Source organism: Homo sapiens, chromosome 15 (genome assembly GCF_000001405.40).
Source record: "Homo sapiens chromosome 15, GRCh38.p14 Primary Assembly".
Taxonomy (NCBI): Eukaryota; Metazoa; Chordata; class Mammalia; order Primates; family Hominidae; genus Homo; species Homo sapiens.
In genome coordinates this window covers 25,082,496-25,095,567 of record NC_000015.10, presented here as the reverse complement: position 1 = coordinate 25,095,567, position 13,072 = coordinate 25,082,496, and the positions used below count along the sequence as shown (strand labels likewise).

Here is a 13,072-nt window from a genome sequence, read left to right as displayed (position 1 = left end):
TAGCATAATTGGAAATTGTTCTGGCTTTACCAGTACAATCTTTTGGATTATTCCTCCAGAGATAAAAAAATAAGTGGTTAAATATTTTGTGACTTGAGTGTGACAGAAAATGACATCACTGAATATAGTCACACAAGCACTGATCCCAATTCAAGGTAACACCTGTTACTGACATGCACATTTGGTCCCTTACTAAAATAAGAAGAGGCTATGTTGCAAAACCATGTTGGTGTATCTTCTAAAGCCAGAAGAGGCAAAAACCACGAAGACAGATTAGAACACCAACAGTACAGGAAAATGACAAGTCTTCTTTCTATGCAACTCCATACTCTCTTACATATGGGATCTGTGTCTGCACTGGAAGCATATCAAATCGAAGTCCACATTTAAACAGAAAAGGTATATGCACAAACAAAAGTGAAATGGAATATTTCTTGTAGGATCCTCCTGGTTCCACTGCTTTTTCTCTTATTCTGACCAGTAGCCGAGTACAGCTGTGAAAGTTAGAAGAGTAATGACAAATAGGAAGAGACATGAACTCCTCCGCCACTGTGTTAAATTATTGACATGGTGGGTAAAATGGAAAACAAAGAGGCTCTGCAGAGAGATGCTTAGGGAGCCCACAACCACAGCCCTCCAAACTGGGGAGTCTTCTGTGGCTGCAGAAGCAGAAGCTCCAAGTCCCACCTGCTGAAGTCAGAAATGGAGAAAAAAAGAGGAAAAAAAAAGAAAAAAGGAAAATCAAGCAGAGCCACTTTCCTCAAACTGGCTGGGGCTCCAGGTGGCCTGTGGTGGCAGCAGTGGCAAAAAATCAGTCAGACTCCACCTGGCAAGGCGAAGGGGCAGCAGAAGTGGGACACACGGTGAGGAGCACAGGCCACGCCAGGTACATGGGGCTCATGCAGGCAGATAGCGTGCTTCGCTTGCTTTTGCAGGCATTCACCTTGGAGGGCCAAAAAAGGACCTTTCAGGTTCTCCCTAATGGATATATGCACACCCTACTATTTACTATGGTTTATGGCCAGAGGCCTGGCCATCTTGGGTGATATGCCTAGCATTCACTGGGAACATTATGTGGATAATATTCTACTGAATTCCACAAATTTAAGTCTTCTGAAGAAACCAACTTCCTCTAAGGGATGAGGGAATGCAGAGCTAGGACAAGTCAAACCTCGCTGTGCAGAGACAGGCTGCCATCTAACTCTTCCTGTGCCACCTGCACATTCACCTGCTCCTGCATAGTTATGTGTGCTACCCTGCTCTCACAGAGGTAAATCCTTCACACAAGGAATCTCCTGTGCACAGGAGGCCGCACTCCCCTGTGACTCCCTTTGCCCAAAGGGGACCCCATCCTAAGCCTGGACAAACCCCTCAATGGAACCTGCGTCAACAAATGGAAGTTTTCCCTCTCTATCTACCCACTGTTGGAGCAATGTGCTGGACCTCAGTTCAACGAAGATGACGGTATAGAGTTTTCACTCATTTTGTTCAGCTTTCCAAGGAATGCATGTATAAAAGTCATCATCGATCCATGCACAGTCTTTGTACCTACAAAGATGGAATATCAGAAGATTTTGGAAAATGGACATTTACCATCCTGAGGGATCCACCAGCACCTGAAGAAGCCCACGCCACATATGCTGCACGTGCCCAGGGGCTCCCCACCATCTCCAGGAATCTCCCAAGACAAAGATGATCCATCGCAGCCTCTGGCCTTCTTCCATGCCAGACCACCTAGGAATTAGAGGCAAAACAGGTGTGCTTGAGAAAGGCAAGCAGGTACACAGGTCTCAAGGGCCATGCCATTCATTCCCTTGTGGTGCATCCTGTATCTACTTCCCACAGGCTACTACAGAAGGAACCAGAGGCACTATAATTCATGGGTGTGGTCTGGTTTAGCAACACCTAAGTTTTGCTGACAGCCGTGAGTGACAAGATACAAACAAACCCACTGCTTCATGCAGTTAAAAATAACAACAAACCTCTGTAGGTCTGCAATGCTTGTAACTAAGTTCTGGTATTCCAAGAACCATTGCCAGTGATCAAGGAACATATTTCAAAGGCTCACTAATCCAAGATTGGGCAGAAATGTAGAATATGACCTGGCAATTTCATCTGTGCTACAAACCACAGAAAGCAGAATTTATAGAAAAGAAAACGGTGTCTTAAAGAAACAAATTAAACTCTTGAGAGAAATCCTTGCACTTAAAACCTGAAGGATGGTTCCATGGAAGCTACACATGGCAGGAATGAGGCCCCCTGTGTAAGAGAAAAGTTGGCCTGTGAATGTCTGCTGGACATAAAGAGTCCAGTGGGAGCCTTGTGGATATAGAAAATTATCCAACACTGCCTTGATACTGGACACAAGTCCACATGGGATACCCTAATTTTGTGCTCTCCCTGTCACACAACCCCCAGGCAGTGAATCCTGCAATAAGATTTAGGAAGAAAACTGCCTTTGACCTTAGGCAGGAGGTCAACACTGCCCCAAAACCGACCTCTAACATACTTCTTATTAAAGGGCCCCAAGAGAGGTATCCACAATGACCAGACAGTGCCCCCAAAACAATAGAAATTCCAGTAGCACTAGGATAGCAGAATGACTCAGACTTAGCACTGCAGGGAGTATGAGTACAACCACAAGGACATAAAATATCTAAAAAAGACCTCCTGAAAGTTTCCAGATCACTGAGATTATTGCAGAAAGAGATGCATACCAGACTTCAAACATAGGAGAGAATAGGGTCACTTACGTAAACCAATATATTTTGGTTTTGCCACTGTTCACTTGAGCTACCATCCACACTGCTGTTACATCACCACACTTAATGTTGGGATAACCACAACATTTTTTTTTCTGATATCGACCTGATATACTCCAATAAAATGTTCCCTGGAGAAAAACACGTGTGACTGGGGATGGAGCAAAGACTGTCAGGAAACAAAAGCAATCTGCTGAAAGGCCCTCCCATGTAGACATCAGATCATATTCCATTCCCAGCACCCTAAGGCCAACATGGCATTTGTGATGTGCAGTACACACCATGCAAAACAGACGCGCAAATGTGGCGGACCATCCCCATCTTAGGGTACCAAGTCAACACATGTATGGCGCTTTCTCATTCCCACCTGGAGTATCCATCACCAGCCATGGGATTTCAGTTTCTCCCTGGAGACACACAAATCATAAATGGAGCCGATCTACAGGGTACTCTCCAGAAAGAAAATAAGCATCACCAACCTCCTCACAACTGACTTCCACTGCTGCTACGAAAACACCATGGGCACTAAAAAGTCCTCAGCCATGAAAAAAAATGAGCCAAAGAACAACAAAGATGTGGCCTTGGGCTCTCTTCCCAACCACAAGGAGCTATCTACCTCTGGGGAACAAGGGAACCCAGAGCCAGCACTCAAGGACAAACCTGGCCACACAGAGGCGGGTTACCGGCTAACTCTTCTGTGCCACCTGCACATTCACCCAGTCCTGCAGACATTGTGCGTGCTACCCAGCCTCACAAAGAGAAGTCCTTCACACAAGGAATCTCCTCTGCACAGGAGCACCTACTGCCCTGTGACTCCCTTTGATCCAAAGTGGACCCCATCCTAAGCCTGGATGGATGGCTTAGTGCAACCCACATCAACCAATGGAAGTTGTCTCTCTCTCTCCAGCTCCAGTTGGAGCCACGTGCTGGACCTCAGTTTGACGAGGACGACGGTATAGAGTTTTCACTCATTTTGTTCAGCTTTCCAAGGAATGCATGTATTGAGGTCATCATCGATCCATGCACAGTCTTTATCCCTGCAAAGAAGGAACATCAGGGGCTTTTGGAAAATGGACATTTACCAACCTGTGGGATCCACCAGCACCCAACAGAGATCACATTCCACATGTCAAGGGGCTCCCTGCCCTCTCTAGGGATCTCCCAAGATGAAGACTGTCCCTCGTAGCCACTGGCCTTACTTCCATGGCCACAACACCTGGGAAGTGCAGAGGAAAAACGGGTGTGCTTAAGAACGGGAGGCAGGTACACATGTCAAAAGGGCCATTCCACTCGACTCACTGTGGTATATCCCATATGTGCTTCCCACAGGCTACTCCCCTTTTGGGATGGGTGTATGGGTCTACCCAGGAATGAAGATAGCAGGCACGTGTTAATTTTGAAGGCACCATCAAGCTACAGAGCCCTAAGTGTAAGAACTCTCTCAAAACCACTCATTTGCCATCACTGACTCAAAAGCCCTCCTCTTGGTCATCAGAGAAGACACAAGCCACAGGGCTATTTAAATGAGGAGAGTTTTGGGGAAAAACTCTTCCAGTACAAAAGGCAATTTTCCTTCAGTCTTGAAGACTTTTCACCCTGGGCTGCTTGAACACTTTTCAGATTGAGAAAAACGTTCAATAACAACTTAACCTCTACCTCAGCGTCTTCCTCACAGGTGCAGCTCAGAGGACCACCAGACACACTGAATCCCACATGGCTTCTAAGGCACTGTGGCTGAGAACACCATACATTTTAAGGCACTTGCCTTTGAACATGGCCGCGCAGTGCAAAACCTATGCATCACTGCCTGTGGATACCAGCCCTGTCCTACAACAAGATGACTATTTCACAAAGAAGACTCCTGGGAAGAATTAGGAGGAATTAGAAAATAACCTAACATCACGAGCTACTAAGGTATTTAAGCACAGAGACCTTCCTGGACCATGTTTCCGAGTAGAGATCACCAGGATATGGGAAGTCACACTCTTATAATCGGGCACGTTGACTGCATCGAGGTGCCTGAGTGGTTCAGAGGCAAAGTATGCACAACCTACGATAGGTAGAAACCCTGGGCCGATATAAGCTCAAATGCCTAATGGAGACAAGCATCTCACAGAGGGTCCTGAACACAGACCTTCCAAACCAAGTCAGTCTGAGGAGTTGCAGAAGCACGTGGACCCGCAATCACATTCCTGTCCCAGCACCCCGAGGTCATCATGAAATGAAATGGGGGCCTGCTACAATGCCCGAAAGAGGCCCACAGTCATCACTCCATGACCCACATGGAATATGCTGTCCAGTACATGCACATGCAGACCTCTCCCCTTCCCACTGCCAGGACCCTTCAGGGGCCATGGGACTGGTTTCCTCCTATGGATATACAAGTTCAACATGGATACCCTCTCTGGCTCCTCTGCAGAAAGCAAATCAGCATCAACATCCTCCTGAGGACTGCCTGCCCTCAATGCTACCTAAACACCATGGGAACTGCCACGTCCCCAAATGAGGGTGAAAGTGAACCAAAGAAGTGCACAGGAACAACATTGTGTGGTGTCCCCATGCAGAAGCCACTGTCTTCCTCTGGGGAGTGCAGGAGCCAAGGAGTTTGAATCAAGGACACACATAGCTGCGCAGAGGGAAGTGCTTCAACTAAGCTGTCTCTCAGCCACAGAAGTCCAAAATGCCCAGCTACTCCACTTCACCCAAAGACGACCCCATCCCAAGTGTTGACACAGCCCTTGTCAACAAACGGATGTTGTCCCTCTCTCTAGCCCCTGATGAGCAGTATGCTGGACCTCAGTTCGACGAGGATGACGGTATAGAGTTTTCACTCATTTTGTTCAGCTTTCCAAGGAATGTACATATGGAAGTCATCATCGATCCAGTCCTTGCCCCTGCAAATGAGGAAAATCAGCATGCTTTAAGAAGGAATCACTTACATTCAGGAGGGATCCAACAGCCTCCGAAAGAGCCCACACTCCATGTGTCCCGGGACTTCTGCCATCTCCCAGGATCGCATGAGACGACAATCATCCCTTGCTGATGTAAGCCTGCTTTTTATACCAACACCACCGGGGAGGTGCAGAGAAAACATGGACGTGCATCAGAAAGGCAGGCATGTGCACAGGTTCCAAGGGCCATGTCATCCAGCTCCCTGCAATACATCTGCTGTCTGCCTGTCTCTGGCCTCACCTGTTCATAAACACAGAAGTTAACGGACACAAGGATGCTCATCTGGGGGTCAGGAGCCTTCAGAGTACGTCATCCCACTAAAGAGCATGTTCAGCATCCTTCTCAACATCGTTGCTTCAATACCTACAATGATACTCACAAAAGCCTTGGGACCCTGGGCCCCTAATGAGAAAGGCTTTAACCTATATTGGGTTTAGGATAAGCCAGGGACTCCTTGGGTATCAGAAGCAATGAGCAGGAGCTCACTAGTTCATGCAATGTACATGTCCCCCAAACACATGGGATACAACACGGGCACACAGGCACATAGGCTATGCCTGGTGACCAAAACTCTAATGTCCTCAACCAAGGACAAAGTTAGCCAACAAACGACAAAGATGTGGCCTTGTATTCTCCTCCCAACCAGACAAATCTGTTTCCTTCCAGGAACTCAGAACAAGGACTCAAGAACAAATTGGCAACCAGAGGCGGGCTACCAGCTAACTCTTGCTAGGCCACATGGACATTCACCTAGTCCTGCAGACAATGCATGTGTTACCCACCCTCACTGACAGTCCTTCAAACAAGAAATTTCCTATACATGGGAGCCACCACTCTCCTGTGACCCCCATCACCCATAAAAGACCCCATCCTAAGCCTGAACGGATGCCTTGGTATAACCCATGTCAAAAAACAGATGTTGGCCCTCTCTGTCTAGCCCCTGTTGGAGTAATGTGCTGGACCTCAGTTCGACGAGGATGACGGTATAGAGTTTTCACTCATTTTGTTCAGCTTTCCAAGGAATGTATATGTGGAAGTCATCATCGATCCACGCACAGTATTTGTCCCTGCAAATGAGGAAACTCAGAGTGCTCTGGGAAAGAAGTGCTTACATTCAGAAGGGATCCAACAACTTCCGAAGGAGCCTTTGCCATTTGTGTCCAGGGGCTTCCTGGTATCTCCGCAGCTCACACAAGGTAACAATTGTCCCTCACCAACATGTGCCTGCCCTCCATGCCAGTGCTACCTGGGAGGTGCAGAGTTAACACAGGCGTGCTTCAGAAAGACAGACAGGTGCACAGGTCACGAGGGCCATGTCATCCAGTCCCCTGCAATTTATCTACTATCTGCCTGTCTCTGGCCTCCCCTGTTCATGGAGGCAGAAATGCATGGATGCAGGGATGCTCGTCTCGGGGCTGGGGGCCCCTGCAGTACACCATCCTGCTAAAGAGCACTGACATTGACCATCCCTCTCAACATCACTGCTTCAACGCCTGCAATGCCACTCACAAAAGCCTTGCGGCCCTGAACCCCTAAGGAGGAAGGCTTTAACCTACCATGAGTTTAGGATAAGCCAGGGACTCCTTTGGTATCAGAACCAGCTTGGAGCAGGAGCTCACCTTTACGTGCAAAATACATGTCCTCAAAACACGTGGGATACAACACGGGCACAAAGGCACATAGGCTATGCCTGGTGACCAAAACTCTAATGTCCTCAACCAAGGACAAAGTTAGCCAACAAATGACAAAGATGCGGCCTTGTACCCACCTCTCAACCACACAGATCTGTTTTCCTCCGTGGGACCTGAGAACCCAGAACAAGGACTCAAGAACAAATTGGCAACCAGAGGCGGGCTACCAGCTAACTCTTGCTAGGCCACATGGACATTCACCTAGTCCTGCAGACAATGCATGTGTTACCCACCCTCACTGACAGTCCTTCAAACAAGAAATTTCCTATACATGGGAGCCACCACTCTCCTGTGACCCCCATCACCCATAAGAGACCACATTCTAAGCCTGAACAGACGCCTTGATATAACCCATGTCAACAAACGGATGTTGGCCTTCTCTGTCTAGCCCCTGTTGGAGTAATGTGCTGGACCTCAGTTCGACGAGGATGACAGTATAGAGTTTTCACTCATTTTGTTCAGCTTTCCAAGGAATGTATATATGGAAGTCATCATCGATCCACACACAGGTTTCATCCCTGCAAATGAGGAAACTCAGGGTGCTTTGGAATGAAATCACTTACATTCAGGAGGGTTTCAACAGCCTGTGAAAGAGTCCACACCATGTGTTTCCAGGGGCTTCCTGCCATCTCCAAGAATCAGACAAGATGACAATCATTCCTCATGATACAAGCCTGCCTTTCATGCCAACACCACCTGTGAAGTGCAGAGGAAACACAGGCGTGCTTCAGAAAGGCAGACAGGTTGCACACGTCACGAGGGCCATGTTATCCAGTCCCCTGTGACACATCTGCTATTTGCCTGTCTATGGCCTCGCCTGTTCATGGACACAGAAATGCATGGACACGCAGATGCTCGTCCCAGGGCCAGGGGCCCTCGAGGTGCACCATCCTGCTAAAGAGCACTGATGTTGGGCATCCCTCTCAACATCGTTGCTTCAACACCTGCAATGGTGCTCACAAAAGCCTTGGGGCCATGAATCCTGAAAGAGGAAGCCACTGACCTAAATCAGGTTTGGAATAACCCAGAGACTCCTTGCCTGACAGCCCCAGCTTGGAGCAGAAGCCTGCCTGATCATGCAATACACAAATCCTCATAACATATGGGATATGACATGGAAATGCGGCAAAGAGGCTATGCTGGGTGCCTGGAAATACAACGTCCTCCGCCAAGGACAAAACAAGCTAACAAGTGAGAATAGTGTAGGCTTGTGCTCTCCCCGCAACCAGGGGATCTGTCTTCCTCTGGGAATCCAGAGCTTGGACTCAAGAACAAACTTGGCCACCAGAGGCAGACTACCCACAAACTCTTTCCATGCCACCTGCCATTCACCTAGTCCTTCAGACAGTAGGTGAGTTATCCCGCCCAGGGAGAAAGAAGTCCTTCAAATAAGGAATTTCCTGTGCATGGGAGCTCCCACTTCCCTGTGACTTCCAATTGCCCAAAGGGACCCCATCCTAAGCCTGGATGGACCCCTTGATGCAACCCATATCAACAAACGAATGTTGGCCCTCTCTGTCTAGCCCCTGATGGAGTAATGTGCTGGACCTCAGTTCGACGAGGATGACGGTATAGAGTTTTCACTCATTTTGTTCAGCTTTCCAAGGAATGTATATATGGAAGTCATCATCGATCCACGCACAGTGTTTGTCCCTGCAAATGAGGAAAATCAGAGCGCTCTGGGAAAGAACTGCTTACATGCAGAAGGGATCCAACAACTTCCAAAGAAGCCTTTGCCATTTGTGTCCAGGGGTTTCCTGGTATCCCTGCGGCTCACACAAGATAACAATTGTCCCTCACCAACATGGGCCTGCCTTCCATGCCAATGCTACCTGGGAGGTGTAGAGGAAACACAAGCGTGCTTCAGAAAGGCAGACAGGTACACAGGTGACAAGGGCCATGTCATCCAGCCCCCTGCGATACATCTGGAATCTGGCTGTCTGGCTTCAACTATTTATGGACACAGAAATGCACGTACATAGGGATGCACGTCTGGGTTCAGGGTGCCCTTATAGTGCATCATCTCGCTAAAGAGCACTAATGTTGAGCATCCCTCTCAACACCCTTGCTTCCACACCTGCAATGCAGCTCACAATAGCCTCGGGGCCATGCAATCCTACTGGGAAGACTTTGATCTACACCGGGATCAGGATAAGCCAGAGTCTCATTGCCTATCAGACTCAGCTTGGAGTGGCAGCCTATGTGTTCATGCCACATGCATGTGCTCACAATGCATGGGACACAACATGGGCACGCTGGCCTGAAAGCTATGCCTGCTGACCACAACTTCATTGTCCTCAATGGACGATGAAATGAGCAGAAAAACAACAAAAGTATGGTACTGTGCTGTCTTCTCAAGCAAAATCACCTATCCTCCTCCAAGGAACATGGAAATCCAGAGCCAGGACCCAAGGACAAACTGCCATGCAGAGGCAGGCTACAGGCTAACTCTTCCTGGGCAACTGCACATTCACCTACTCCTGCGGACAGCATGTGTGGTACCCTGGCCTCACAAATAGAGTCCTTCAAACAAGGAATCTCCTGTGTACATAGCCTCCACTCCCCTGCCATTCTCCTTTGCCCAAACGAGACCCCATCCTAAGCCTGGACAGAACCCCTTGGTGCAATGGGCATCATCAAATGAAATTTGTCCCTCTCTCTCTAGCCCCTGTAAGAGCAATGTGCTGGACCTCAGTTCGACGAGGATGACGGTATAGAGTTTTCACTCATTTTGTTCAGCTTTCCAAGGAATGTATATAAGGAAGTCATCATCGATCCAGGCACAGTCTTTGTCCCTGCAGAGGAGGAATATCTGGAGCTTCTGAGAAATGGACACTTACCATCCTAAGGAATCCACTAGCACCTGAAGGAGCCCATGCCACACATATCAAGGGACTCCCTATCATTTCCAGGATCTCCCAAGACCAAGATTGTCCCTCGTGGCCACTGGCCTTCCTTCTATGCCCACGCCACCTGGAAAGTTCAGAGGAAAAACAGGTGTGTTTGACAACAGCAGGCAGGTACACACATTGCAAGGGCCATACAATTCATCCCACTGTGGTGTATCGTGTATGTATCTCCCACAGGCAGCCCCTCTTACTGGGACATGTGCATGGGTGTAAGCAGGCATGAAGCTATCATGCACACAATAATTTTGAGGGCTCCTTCCAGCTACAGAGCACCAAGCATAACAAACTCTCTCAACACCATTCATTTGCCACCTCTGAATCAAAAGTCCTGCTTTTGGCCATCAGAGAAGATGAAGCCCATGAGGATATTTCAGTGGGGACAGGTTCAAGGAAAGCCTCTTCTTGAGTGAAGGGCAATTTTCCTTTGGTCCTGAAGTACTTTCACCCCAGGCTCCTTTGACACTCTTCCCACTGAGAAACATGCTCAATCACAAATCAACCTCCACCTCTGGGTTTTCCTCAAAGGTACAGCTCGGGGACCCAGAAGAGCACAAGACATGCTGAATCCTACAGGGCTTCCAAGGCACTATGACTAAGAACACCATACATCTTAAGCCACTTGGCTGTGAACATGGCTGTGGAGTCCAAAACTTATCCATCACTGGCCTACAGACACTAGCCCTGTCATACAATTCAAGGACAATTTCACAAAGACTTGTGTGAATTGTCACACACAATTAGGAGGAATTTGAAAATAACCTAACATCACAAGCCACTAAGGTATTTAAGCACAGAGACCTTGCTGGGTCACATTTCTGAGTAGAAGTCACCAGGATACAGAAACCCACACACTCATTATCAGACACCTCAAATGCACCAAGGAAAAGTATCCCACAGAGGTTCCTCAACACAGACCTTCCAAACCAAGTCAGTCTGCAGAGATGCAGGAGCACGTGGACCTACAATTACATTCCCATCCCAGCACCCTGAGGTCATCATGAAATGGACTATGGGCACCCTACAATGCCCGAAAGAGGCTCACAGTCGTCGCTCTGTGACCCAGACAGAAGGCTGTGTGGTACACGCATGCACGGCCCTCTCCCCTTCCACTGCCAGGATGCTTCAGGGGCCACGGGACTTGGGTTTCCCCCTCCTATGGACATACAATTCAACGTGGATACCCTCTCTGGGCTTCTCTGCAGAAAGCAAATCAGTATTGCCACCCTCCTCACGACTGCCTGCCCTTGATGATACCCATACACCACAGGAACTCCCATGTCCCCGACTTAGGATAAAAGTGAGCCGAAGAAGTGCCTGGGAACAACATTGTGCTGTGTCCCCATGCAGCAGTAACTGTCTTCCTCTGGGGAGTGCAGGAGCCAAGGGGTATGAATCGATAACACACATAGCCACACAGAGGGAAGAGCTTCAACCAAGCTGTCTCTCAGCCACAGAAGTCCAAAATGCCCAGCTACTCCACTTCACCCAAAGACGATCCCATCCCAAGCATTGATGCAGCCTGTGTCAACAAATGGATGTTGTCTCTCTCTCTAGCCCCTGATGAACAGTGTGCTGGACCTCAGTTCGACGAGGATGACGGTATAGAGTTTTCACTCATTTTGTTCAGCTTTCCAAGGAATGTATATATGGAAGTCATCATCGATCCATGCACATTATTCATGCCCAAAAATGAGGAAAATCAGGACTTTGGAAAGTGGACACTTACATTCAGAAGGGATACAACAGCCTCCAAAGGAGCCCACACCACATGTGTCCAGGGGCCTCATGGCATCTCCAAGGATCGCACAAGAAGAAGATTGTCCCTCGAAGATACCTCCTTTCCTCATGCCAACACCACCTGGGAAGTGCAGCGGAAATACGAGTGTGCTTCAAAAAAGCAGACACATTCACAGGTCATGAGGGCCGTGTCATCTGGCCCCCTATGGCATATCTGCTATCTGCCTGTCTCTGGCTTCCCTGGTTATGGATAAAACCGGAACTGCAATGTCCTTGAACAATGATGAAAATGAGTGGAAAAAACAGCAAAGGTGGGGCTTTGTGCTCTCTTCCCAAGCACAAACACCTGTCTTTCCTCAAGGGAATGATGGAACCCAGAGCTAAGACTCAAGGACAAATATGGCCACCAGAGGCAGGCTACAGGCTAAGTCTTCCCATGTCACCTTCACATTCACATAGTCCTACAGACGGTGTGTGTGTGTTACCTTGCAGAGAGAAGTCCCTAAAACAATTTCCTATTTATGAGAGATCTCACAACCCTGTGACTACCCCTTGCAGAAAGGGAGCCCCTCCTACAACTGAACAAACCCCTTGGTGCAACCTGCAGCAACAAATGAAACTTGGCCCTCACTCCAGCCCCTGTAAGAGCAATGTGCTGGACCTCAGTTCGACGAGGATGACGGTATAGAGTTTTCACTCATTTTGTTCAGCTTTCCAAGGAATGCATGTATGAAAGTCATCATCGATCCATGCACAGTCTTCATGCCCACAAAGGAGTAACATTAGGGGGTTTTGGGGAATAGATACTTACCAGCACCTGAAGAAGCCCACACCACACATGTCCTAGGACTCCCTGCCACATCCAGTGATCTGCTAAGAACAAGATCATCCATTGTCTCCACTGGCCTTCCTTCCATGCCCACACCACCTAGGAAGTACAGAGGCAACACGGGTGTGCTTGAGAAAGGCAGGCAAACACATAGGTCACAAGGGCCATGCCATTCAACCCCCTGTGGGATAC

At 48.4% G+C, this 13,072-nt stretch overlaps 1 long non-coding RNA gene and 9 other non-coding genes across 10 annotated transcripts in view; all 10 read right to left on the bottom strand.

Annotated features, from left to right (window-relative positions):
• SNHG14 (small nucleolar RNA host gene 14) overlaps positions 1-13,072 on the bottom strand; it is a 595,855-nt gene that overhangs the window by 323,895 nt on the left and 258,888 nt on the right. The window contains exons 39-46 of the long non-coding RNA NR_146177.1: positions 12,863-12,979; positions 12,041-12,172; positions 10,246-10,378; positions 8,954-9,058; positions 7,969-8,101; positions 5,702-5,954; positions 3,849-3,978; positions 1,594-1,734 (exon numbers count right to left, since the gene is read on the bottom strand). This is a non-coding gene — a long non-coding RNA (small nucleolar RNA host gene 14). The remainder of the gene's footprint in view (positions 1-1,593; positions 1,735-3,848; positions 3,979-5,701; positions 5,955-7,968; positions 8,102-8,953; positions 9,059-10,245; positions 10,379-12,040; positions 12,173-12,862; positions 12,980-13,072) is intronic.
• SNORD116-24 (small nucleolar RNA, C/D box 116-24) lies at positions 1,439-1,532 on the bottom strand. Its single transcript, NR_003338.2, has one exon. It is a non-coding gene; the product is annotated as a small nucleolar RNA, C/D box 116-24 (small nucleolar RNA).
• On the bottom strand, positions 3,690-3,783 carry SNORD116-23 (small nucleolar RNA, C/D box 116-23). Its single transcript, NR_003337.2, has one exon. It is a non-coding gene; the product is annotated as a small nucleolar RNA, C/D box 116-23 (small nucleolar RNA).
• On the bottom strand, positions 5,553-5,646 carry SNORD116-22 (small nucleolar RNA, C/D box 116-22). The gene has a single exon (NR_003336.2). It is a non-coding gene; the product is annotated as a small nucleolar RNA, C/D box 116-22 (small nucleolar RNA).
• SNORD116-21 (small nucleolar RNA, C/D box 116-21) lies at positions 6,672-6,765 on the bottom strand. The gene has a single exon (NR_003335.2). It is a non-coding gene; the product is annotated as a small nucleolar RNA, C/D box 116-21 (small nucleolar RNA).
• Positions 7,814-7,907, bottom strand: SNORD116-20 (small nucleolar RNA, C/D box 116-20). The gene has a single exon (NR_003334.2). It is a non-coding gene; the product is annotated as a small nucleolar RNA, C/D box 116-20 (small nucleolar RNA).
• SNORD116-19 (small nucleolar RNA, C/D box 116-19) lies at positions 8,949-9,042 on the bottom strand. Its single transcript, NR_001290.2, has one exon. It is a non-coding gene; the product is annotated as a small nucleolar RNA, C/D box 116-19 (small nucleolar RNA).
• Positions 10,091-10,184, bottom strand: SNORD116-18 (small nucleolar RNA, C/D box 116-18). The gene has a single exon (NR_003333.2). It is a non-coding gene; the product is annotated as a small nucleolar RNA, C/D box 116-18 (small nucleolar RNA).
• SNORD116-17 (small nucleolar RNA, C/D box 116-17) lies at positions 11,888-11,981 on the bottom strand. The gene has a single exon (NR_003332.1). It is a non-coding gene; the product is annotated as a small nucleolar RNA, C/D box 116-17 (small nucleolar RNA).
• On the bottom strand, positions 12,708-12,801 carry SNORD116-16 (small nucleolar RNA, C/D box 116-16). Its single transcript, NR_003331.2, has one exon. It is a non-coding gene; the product is annotated as a small nucleolar RNA, C/D box 116-16 (small nucleolar RNA).